Source organism: Homo sapiens, chromosome 7 (assembly GCF_000001405.40).
Source record: "Homo sapiens chromosome 7, GRCh38.p14 Primary Assembly".
Taxonomy (NCBI): Eukaryota; Metazoa; Chordata; class Mammalia; order Primates; family Hominidae; genus Homo; species Homo sapiens.
This window is the reverse complement of record NC_000007.14, coordinates 109988374-110000164: the sequence shown is the minus strand read 5'-3', so window position 1 is coordinate 110000164 and position 11791 is coordinate 109988374. Positions and strand designations below refer to the sequence as shown.

General features: G+C 35.3%; 1 pseudogene; it reads left to right on the top strand.

The window, feature by feature from the left end:
* On the top strand, positions 519-1786 carry RPL3P8 (ribosomal protein L3 pseudogene 8; annotated as a pseudogene).

Below are 11791 nucleotides of genomic sequence, written 5' to 3'. Positions count from 1 at the left end.
AGGACTGTTATTTACATGCACAACAGGTTAAGAAGCAATACATACAGAATGTCTGTGAATCACATCAAGGGAGATTTAAATCTCCAGTGAAAGAATCTAGGGTTATTTTTGGCCAACTCTACTCAAAACTTCTATTAATGTTTAGCTAAATAAATGGAAGAGAAGTTCAACCAGAATATATTTCCAATATTGAAGAGCGAACCACTTGCATGTATGGGTTTTCTTTGCAAATAGGTACTGCAAGTGGCAACAAACATCAAAATGAAGCAATCAATAAGCAAAATTCTATGCAAGAATATAGGCAAATTTAATTAGATAGATATAGCATCTATTCTCTAGGATTTTATAACCCCAAAGAGCAACGGGAAGCTTACATCAGTGTACTTAGATGCCAGGAGAGCAATAAAAAATTAGTGCTCTGAGAAATAAAATAAACTATGTATTTGTATTTTGTCAGTTATATCTACAACCGACAAAATGAATCGAGACAGATGATACAATTAAGATTTACAGTTATGACCAGCGGGACGTGACAGTGTGCTGTCTAACTGGAAGTTCACTGTTCCCTGGCTTGGGTCCCTAGGCTTCCTGCCTTGGAAGCGCAGCAGCAGGCTTCATGGGAAGGTGAAGAGCTTCCCTAAGGATGAACCTTCCAAGCCATTCCACCTCACAGCCTTCCTGGGATACAAGGCTGGTATGGCCTACATCATGTGAGAAGCTGACAGCCCAGGATCCAAGGTGAACAAGGAAGTGGTAGAGGCTGTGACAGTTGTGGAGACACCGCCCATGGTAGTTGTGGGCATTGTGGCTATATGGAAATCGCTCAAGGCCTCCAGACCTTCAAGACTGTCTTTGCTGAGCACATCAGCAATGAATGCAAAGGTGTTTCCATAAGAACCGGCATAATCTATAAAGATGGCCTTTACCAAGTACTACAAGAAATGGCAGAATGAGGATGGCAACAAGCAGCTGGAGAAGGAATTCAACAGCATGAAAATGTACTGCCAAGTCATCTCTATCATTGCCCATACTTAGATGTGCCTGCTTCCTCTGTGCCAGAAGAAGGCACGCCGATGGAGATCCAGGTGAACTGAGGCACTGTGGCTGAGAAACTGGACTGAGCCTGGGAAATGCTAGAGCACCAGGTCCCTGTGAACCAAGTATTTGGGTAGGACAGGGTAATTGATGCCATTGAGGTGACCAAGTGCAAAGGCTACAAAAGGGGTCACCAGTCATTGGCACACCAAGAAGCTGACCCACAAGACCCACCAAAGGCTGTGTAAGGCTCCTTATATCAGGATGTGGCATCCTGCCTGTGTGGCCTTCTCTGTGGCATGTGCTGGGCAGAAAGGCTACCATCACTGCACTGAGAATAACAAGAAAATCTGTAACATTGGCCATGGCTACCTTACGAAGGATGAAAAATGGATCAAGAACAATGCCTCCACTGATGGTGACCTGTCCGACAAGAGCATCAACCCTCTGGGTGGCTTTGTCCACTATAATGAAATGAACAATGACTTTGTCATGCTGAAAGGCTGTGTGGTGGGAATCAAGAAGTGAGTGCTCACCTCCGCAAGCCTTTGATGGTGCAGACCAAGCGTCCTGCTCTGGAGAAGACTGACCTTAAGTTCATCAACACTGTTTCCAGGTTTGGCCGTGACCACTTCCAGACCATGGAGGAGAAGAACCACTAAAAAAGACCAGATTGCAAAGCAAGAAGGAGCTTAATGCCAGGAACAGATTTTGCAGCTGATGGGGTCTGAATAAAAGTTATTTTCCACTGGAAAAAAAAATTAGATAGGCTTTCAAAACTTAACAGACAAGACTAGATTCTAAATAGTGATGGCAAAAATATAGAATTTGGAAAGAAGTAGTTCAAAAGAAACCTATATAAATAATTTCTGGAGAGTTTAGGTTGATTTGATTGGTTCACAATAATTAAACAAGTAGTTGTTGATAAGTAAAGCACTGTGTTAAGTGTCTCCAGAAATACAAAGATGAGAATGCACTAATCCTGTCTTTAAGGTATCTGCCTAAGTGGGAACAGGTTTATATGCACAAATATTCTTAAGTAAAATACATGATATCTGCCATGTGATTGAATGAAGCAAAGATAAATAAATCAGTAAAGTCACGTGACTTTATTGGGAGAATTTCTCGCAAAAATGTTAGCTTTTGAGACACAATGAGAAGGGAAAAAAAAGAAGTATTTTAAACATTAAATATAAAAGCAAAGTTGCTCCAGACCAGTGGTGTCTGATAGAACTTTCTGCTATGAGAGAAATGTTATATATCTGTTGTGTCTGATATAATAGCCATGAACCACTTGTGGCTACCAAAAACTTGAAACTTTAAAACAGAATGCTAAAACTTATTTAATTTAAATTTAATGGTTTCTATATTGAACAACACAGTTTTAGGCAGAGAAACCAGCTTATGTAGAAGTACTGAAGCTTGAGAGAGCATGGGACGCTATGTTTACAGGCAGCAACCTCTCTGCTCTCACTAGAGTAGAGTTGGGTGATAAAGTGAAAAGCAAGGTTGAAAGCAAATATCCAGGCGAAATTTTGGAAGCTTTTGCATATTGGGCCATTATAGAGTAGGCAATGAAAATTTTTGAATAGGTTTGAGTCAAGTCCAACCTTGGGATTTAGGAAGAAAACCAGTGACTGTGAATCAGTCGAGATCAGGTGAGAAGTTACTGTAACAATTCAAACAAGAGAATGTGAGATATTATATTAAGACAAAGAAAATGAAATTATATATGCAAAGGAAAATTCAGGGAGACATTTATCATATTGGCTTAATGTGGTTTCCCCAAACTGAGGAGAAAATATTCGAGTAAAAATTACAAATGCAAACAGCATTTTTCTTTTTCAGAGTTTCTGGGAAAAGGAAGAAAATGACACAGGGAAATGGTGGCAGCCAATATTGTGTGAGTGACTAAGCCAGCAATCAACATGGGTGACTGGAGTTCATTCTTACAGGGAAACACTGGAGGATGGTATAACACATGTGCCTCAAAATTATCCCAACAAAAGAGCAAGGGAGCTGAGACACTACCATCAGTCACCAGTTAAAGACTGTTTCCAGGGGATGCAGGACTTCTGGCCTGCTGTATGCTGGGATAGATTAGCCTTCCATAGCTTCAGGAAAAACAAAAAACAAAAAAAACCTGAGAAGTAGAAATGCAGATAATAGGATTCAGAAGCCCTCAGGTGGACATAAAAATGGCAGCATGCAAAGGCTTAATCAGAGTTCTATTAGTGTCTGCTTCATGCATGTAATATGTAATATAACACCAGGTATGCTACATGTCTTATAAAATCACATTAAAATATGTATAAACATACTAACAGGCTTACTGCTTATATAATAAGAGAGATGGTAACTAAGTTAAAAAATAAGAATAATAAAAAATACATTCATATTGAAAAACCAAAAATATGTCTATAGAGTATTACTACTTTCAAATTTAGCCACAAGAACAGATGAGATTGCATGTTTTTGGTGGTAGTGGTTCTCAGAAGGGTTTCCAGGCCACTTTGGTGGCCTGCCAAGTCTTCATGGGTGTGCACTATTTTTGATAAATACGTGAAGCCTATTGCTGCTAAAATTGAGTACTGTATATTTTCTGTTGTGACAATATCTGACAAGCTAAAAAATGAGAGATGAGACATAGTATACTATGAAGCCAGACATGTCAAAATGTGTTTATTAAAACCTGATAATTTTTTTGGGAAAAGAAAGATTTTTACTGAATTCTGACACCATGAAAGACGAACAAGTTTATTGTCCCAGGCAACCTGGGATACTTTCATAGGCACCAGGAGATATTGTGGCACTGTAGTAATGATAATATTTTAGTTATTGCTGACATTTTTGTGTGGTTTGAATCCCTTCATCATTCTATGTTTGTCACCAGAACTAATAATATCCTAAACTGCACAAGTTTGAGAAAAAAGTTTGGTAAATGTTAGCCAAAGTAAGGAATGTGTTGTGATAATTCATCATTAAGTTACAGCAGTAATTTTTGTGACTAATGTTGAAAATGTATTCGTTATTATTGAATACATGGTAAATAAAGAAGACATTTTCTTAACTTGCTTACTATTGAATATACCAATAGACACTGAGATGTCCATAAAGCATACTCATTACAAATTAGTTGTAAAATTACAGCCATGTAGGACTTACCAGCATCAAAAAAGTGCTGTAAATTTACAAGAGTCTCTTTTAATGTTCAAAATAATTTTAGTAAGTTTTTTTTCTGGTGAGGTTATTTGGACAAGGAACTGGTCCAAATTCTCAAAATCAAATGAGCCTCCTAAGGGAGACAGTGTTTTCTCTTCACATATTCTTTCCTTTATCTTCAGCAATTGATCTCCCTAAGCATAGCTGTATGTGTGGTGACACAGTGAAGAATCTGTATTTCTAGCCCCCCTTGCAACCAGATTTTCTATTTGTTCTGATCAATGGTGTCTGAGCAGAAGAAAAGGTGCATTTAACTTCCAGGAAATATACTTAAAAGAAGGAGAAATATCCTTCTTCTGTCTTTTCTTCTTTCTGATTATAATGCAGATGTGACAGCTGCAGCTGGAGAAGCTAGTCTGGACTATAAAGTAGATGCCATCATTTAAAGAAAGCAGACAAATAAGAAAAATAATATAGGCCTCTCATTGATAATTATGAAGAATAGACACCAACTCTTTTTTTCATATAATTATGTATGAAAAAATAAGCATTTATTCTTAGACAATAGTATTTTGGGTTTTTTTATGACTAAGTTAAGTCGAGTTTAATTTTAAGAGGAAAAACTCCATTTCCATTTTTGCAATTATTTTCTACACTTAGATGTATTCTTGGGATGGTGGGATAAACTTGCCTTAAAGAAGATGGTTATATTTTGGAAACAAACAGATTATATCTGTAATATAAATGCATGTCAAGGCCTATCCTTTCCATGAGAGTGGTCATGTAGAGTCAAGATTTCATCTAAGAAATCAAAAAGATCTCCTTTCAACTTGAATAGATACATCTGAACATTTCCCATGGAAAACCAAAGAGCTTAGTATGAAAGAACAGTTGTTCACTGTTGGTGCCCATATGTCTCCAAAGCAAAGAAATAGGTTTAAAAGAAATTCTAGACTTAAACTCAACACTTGATCAGTTGGACCTAATAGACATCTGCAGACCACCCAATAATCACAGAATATACATCCTTCTCATTGGCACATAGAACATATTGATTGGTCAAAAAGCAAGTATCAATAGATTGAGAAAAACTAAAATCATGCCAAGCATACTCTTGGACCACAGTGCAATTAAAATAGAAATCAGTTTCAAGAAGAATTCTCAAAACTGCACACATTTATGGAAATCAAACAACCTGCTCCTGAATAACTCATGAGTAAACATCAGAATTAAGGTAGAAGTTTAAAAAATGAAATTATTGAAAATGCAGACATGACTTACCCAGATCTGAGATGTAGCTAAAGCGGTATTAAGAGCAAAGTTTATAGCATAAATGCCTTCATCGAGAAGTTAGAAAGATCTCAAATAAAAAATCTAACTTTGCACTTAAAAGAATTAGAATAAAAAGAACAAAACAATCCCAATACTAGCAGAAGAAAATAAATAACGAGAATTTCAGAAGAACTCAATGAAATTGAGATGCAGGAATCCATAAAAAAATCAATGAAACCAATAGTTTGTTCTTTGCAAAAATAAACAAAATTGATAGACTGCTAGCTAGATTAATAAAAAAAAGAGAAAAATAAGTAAATCAAATTATAAACATAATATTACAATTGATCCCACATAAATACAAGATCCTCAGAAAATACTATGAACAACTCTGTGCACACAAATTAGAAAATATAGAGGAAATGGATAAATTCCTGGAAACACACAATCTCCCCATATTGACTCAATAAGAGGTTGAAACCCCGAATAGACCAATCTTGAGCTCTGAAGTTGATTCAGTAATAAAACACCTACCAACCAAAAAAAAAAAAAAATCCCTGGACCAGATGGATCACAGCTGAATTTTATCAGATGTACAAATAAGAACTGGTACCCAATCCTACTGAACATATTCCAAAAAAGATGAGGAGGAAGCGCTCCTCCTTAACTCATTCTATGAGGCTAGCATCAACCTCATACCAAAATCTGGCAGAGACACAGCACAAAAAAGAAAACTTCATGTCAATATCCCTGATGAACATAGACACAAAAATCCTCAACAAAATACTAGCACATTGAATACAGCAGCACATCAAAAAGTTAATACACCATGATTAACTAGCCTTTATTTGTGGGATGGAAGGCTGGTTCAACACACAAATCAATAATTGTGATTAATCCCTTAAACAGAATTAAAAATAAAACCATATGATCATCTCAATAGATGCAGAAAAAGCTTCCAATAAAATCCAACATTTCTTCATAGTTAAAACCTTCAAAAAACAAGGCATCAAAGGAATATACCTCAAACTAATGAGCCATCTATGACAAACCCATAGCCAACATCATACTAAACAGGCCAAAGTTCCCTTTGAGAACTGGAACAAGACAAGGATACCCACTTTCACCACTCTTATTCAACATAGTACTGGAAGTCCTAGCCAGGGCAGTCAGGCAAAAGAAAGAAATAAAAAGCATCCAAAGAGAAAAGAAAAAATCAAACTATCTCTGTTCACTGATGACATGATTCTATACCTAGAAAACCCTAAATTATCTACCAACAGACTCCTAGAGCTGATAAACAATTTTACTAAGGTTTCAGATACAAATTAATGTACAAAAATCAGTAGCATTTCTGTATACCAATAATGCCCAGGATGAGAGGCAAGTCAAAAATACAATCCCATTGACAATAGCAACAAAGAAAATGAGATACCTAGGAATACAGTCACCCAAGGGGGTGAAAGATCTCTACAAGGAGAACTAAAAATCACTGCTGAAAGAATCAGAGTTGACTCAAATAAGTAGAAAAGCGTAGCATGGCTCATGTATTGGAAGAATCAATATTATTAAAGTAGCCATACTGCCCAAAGCAATTTACAGATGCAACACTACTTTTATCAAACTACCAATGTCATTCTTGACAGAATTAGAAAAAAAGCTATTCTAAGTTTCATATGGGACTTAGAGCTCAAATAGTCAAAGCAATTCTAAGCAAAAAGAAGAAAGCTGGAGGCATCACAATACCCAACTTCAAACTTTATTATAAGGCAATAGTAACGAAAGCAGCATGGTACTAGTGCAAAAACAGACTCATAGACTAATGAAACAGAATAAGAAACTCAGAAATAAATCTTCACACTTGTAAACGTCTGATCTTTGATAAGGCTAACAAAAACAAGCAAAGGGGCACAGTTCCCTATTCAATAAATGGTGCTGGGATAGCTGGCTAGCCATATGCAGAAGAATGAAATTGAGCCTTCACCTTTCACCATATAGAAGTGTTAATTCGAGATGGATTAAAGATTTAAATATAAGACCTCAAACTATAAATGTCCTAGAAGAAAGCCTAGGAAACACCACTGTCAACATGGACTTGGGCGAAAAAAAAAAAAAAAATTTGTTAAGTCTCCAAAAGCAAAAATTGACAAGTAAGAGCTAATTAAAGAGCTTCTACATAGCAAATGAAACCATCAAAGTAAACAGAAAAGCTAGAGAATGGGAGAAAATATTTGCAAGCTATGCATCTGACAAAGAAATACGTAACATTCAGAATCTATAAGAAACTTAAATGAATGAACAAACAGAAAACAACCCCATTAAAAAATGGATAAAGGACATGAACAGACACTTCTCAAAAGAAGACATAGTCGGGGGGTAGGGGGTTAGGGGAGAGATAACATTAGGAGAAATACTTAATGTAGCTGACAGTTTGATGGATGCAGCAAACCACCATGGCACGCGTATACCTTTGTAACAAAACTGCACGTTCTGCACATGTATCCCAGAACTTAAAGTATAATTTTTAAAAAAGAGAAAAAAAAAGGCAAACATCATTGAAAAAATCTTTATCTTCACTAATCATTGGAGAAATGCAAATCAAAACCACAAGACAACATTTCACACCAGTCAGAATGACTATTATTAAAACATCAAAAAGCAACAGATACTGGCAAAGCTGCAAAGAAAAGGGAACACCTATACACTATTGGTGGGAATGTAATTTAGTTCAGGACTGTGGAAAGTACTTGGAGATTTCTCAAAGAACTACCATTCAGAGTTCTGATTCAATCCAGCAATCCCATCACTGTGTATATACCCAAAGGGAAATAGATGTTTGTACTAAAAAGACACATACACTCATATGTTTATCCCCACACTATTCACCATAGCAAAGACATGGAATCAACCTAGGTGCCCATCGATGGAGGACTGGGTAAAGAAAATGTGTACATTTATACCATAGAATACTATGCAGACAAAAAAAAAAAGAATGAAATCATAACCTTTTCAGCAACAGGGATGCAACTGGAGGCCTTAATCCTAAGCGAATTAATGCAGGAACAGAAAATCAAATACTACATCTTCTGACTTTTAAGTGGGAGCTATACATTGAGCACCCATGGACATGGACATAAACATGAGAACAATGGACACTGTGAACTACTAGAGAGGAGAGGAATGCAGGGGGGAATGGATCAAAAAACTATGTACTGGGGACTATACTCGCTACCTGGGTGCAATATAACCATGTAACAAACCTGCACACATACCCCCTGTATCTAAAATAAAACTTGAAATAAATGTGTATATAAATATAATATATTTAACTATATATCATATTACTATATTAATATAACAAATGTATATATTTTAAAATCTGTCTAAAGTAAAACTTGAAATAAGTGTGTATATAAATATATATAAATATATATAATATTACTATGTTAATATAAAAATGTATATATTTTAAAATGTATATTTATAAATCTAAATGTATATATATTTAATCTATATGTTTTAAATATATATATTTAAAATGAATACATCTAAAACATAGTTATTTCTAAAATATCTTAAAACTTCTATTATAAATGAAATAGAAATACAAATTATACCATCAAATTTTAAAAATAAGGTTATATAAAGAAAAAAATAAATTAGATGAACGTTCAAGAGCTAACTTTTTGTGTTTATGGAAATTATATCAGTTTTAATATATATTGATTTGTTTCTATAGATTTTTATAGATTCACATGCAAGAGCTTAAATATTTGGAATTAATCCTCTTATTAAAATAATAGTGGCTTTATAATCAATATTTCTTGCCCAACAAATCATTTTCAGGCTATACTATTATCTTTATGATACTATCAATATACTAGTTTGCTAACATTCTGAGTATAACCAAGATGCATTATAGCAGAATTCAGAAAAAAAATTAACATTACATGAGATAAAATAATATTTTTGGAGTTTTGTGACCATGAGGGCTTTCTCTTAGTCTTCCTCTATAGGCTCCAGCATGCTAAGATTTTTCTCTGGTTCACTCTTTCTAATCAGATGCAGTGACAAACAACCTGCTCAGTGACTTAGAGCAGAGTTAAATTCTTGCACACTGTAAGTGTCTATCATATCTTTTTCACTTGAGACCAAGGAAGGTAGAGTAACCTTTACCTGGGACATTGCTATATTCTTAGCAGAGTGGAAAAAAAGCATATCACAAGCTGGATCTTTAACCTTTGCTCAGACATGCTTCACTTTCACCCCCATTTTACTGGCCAAAGCAAGGCACATGGACAGTTCTGAATTCAGTGAAATAGGAAAATATAATCTCACAAAAAACAGCATAAGTATGGAGGAAGGTGCTAAAATGTCTAGTCTGTGATTAATTACTCTGTTTACCAAGTGGAGGTTCCCAGTCATACCTCCTTGACAACATCATAACTAGACCTCTGGGTAAATACATGGATAATATTTGCTAGGAATGGAGTCCTTATCTAGGGAAAGGTCATAATGGGATGTCCTTGGCTAAGGATGGCTTATAGAAAATAAAACCAGAATCTATAGATTTATGAGGAGAATAATGATAACCAGCTAGTGATAAATTGGAGATGTTTCATAAACAAAATACTCCCTGATGTCTGGAGTAATAACTTACGTACCTCATTTAGAGACTTGTGTATTCTTGACCAAGAATCCATGTCTAATATGGGAAGGAAGCACCTAGGGAGCTGCTAAGCATGTCCTTGACCTCTCTCTGCTTTACCTGAGCTTCTTTATGTGTGTATCTTTGAAATTACTAGTAGAACTTGATATTGGGTATGATGTCTGACTTATTTGAGTTTGACTTGACAATTTAATCCTTTGTGTTATTTATCAAATAATATGGCCAAGGCTGATGTCAGCATAAAGAGGAAGAAAATATTTTGAGCAATAATGTAATCTACCACACTTATTATGTTTATGGGCATATTTAGACTTATTCCTGGTCTCTTATTCTGTGATTTTTAAAATGCCTTTTCTTTGTGTCTTTTTTCTTTTCTTTTGATTTCTATTTGATCAGTTATGCTCTTTGTTTTTTCCTGTTATATGTGTATTGGCTAAAATTTTAATTTTATTTTTACTTTTTAGTAACTCTAGTTACATTTTTAATATGTTTCCTTGACATGACAAAGTCTAAGTGTAATCAATATCTTTGAATTCTGATATCATCAGTCTAGTTTTTCATGTCAATATTTTTGGAAGTTTAGGTTTCTCATTTTTTAACAACTCGTTCCCTCAAATGAAGTCATAGTTAATCTTATTTAGTTTTACTAGTTTAATTTCTTTTTACTGAAACATACTATTTAATTCTAGCAGCAGAAGATTCTGAGTAGTTAATTCATTCCTTGTATCTATTTAATTTAATTTAATTTAATTTATTTATTTATTTTATTTTTTGAGACGGAGTCTCGTTCTGTCGCCCAGGCTGGAGTGCAGTGGTGCGATCTCGGCTCACTGCAACCTCCCCATCCCGGGTTCACGCCATTCTCCTACCTCACCCTCCTGAGTGGCTGGGACTACAGGTGCCGGCCACCACGCCCGGCTAATTTTTTTGTATTTTTAGTAGAGACGGGGTTTCACCGTGTTAGCCAGGATGGTCTCCAGCTCCTGACCTCGTGATCCACCTGCCGCCTCGGCCTCCCAAAGTGCTGGGATTGCAGGTGTGAGCCACCGCGCCTGGCCATTTTCTTGTATCTTTTAAAATATCATTAATTCATCCTGGAACCTTAAGTGATCATTTTAGTTATAGAATGTTTAGGCTGACTATAATTTATTATCTCTCAATCTTTTAAAAATTATTCAACTATCTTTGGCATCTATTCTTGCTAATGTGATCATGCTTTCAGTTTGTTTCAGTGTAGCTCCTCTGTTTTATCTTTCTTTCTCTCTCTCATTTTTAGTATGATCTTCCACTATCAGTAATCAGAGCCTCCATATTAGTAAATGCCTACCATTATCTTGGAAACAATATCTCACTTCTATATTACTGATACTCTCCATATGTGAATGTAACTAAGCATAGAATGATCTTTAATATTCCACCCTTCAGCTCTTACATCTCTTCATATATTTGTGCTTCATTCTGAGTACTGAGTAACTTTCTCACCTATTTTACTATCTACTAAGTCCGTTTCAATCTATACCTCATCACCTGTTTAACCTATTCATGGAGGATATCATTGTCCTTTTTTAATATCACATGCAGAGAATAAAGTTCATTTTATTCCTAAATTAATGGTACAATATAATCTTCATTTTGTATAAGCCATTCTTCAGT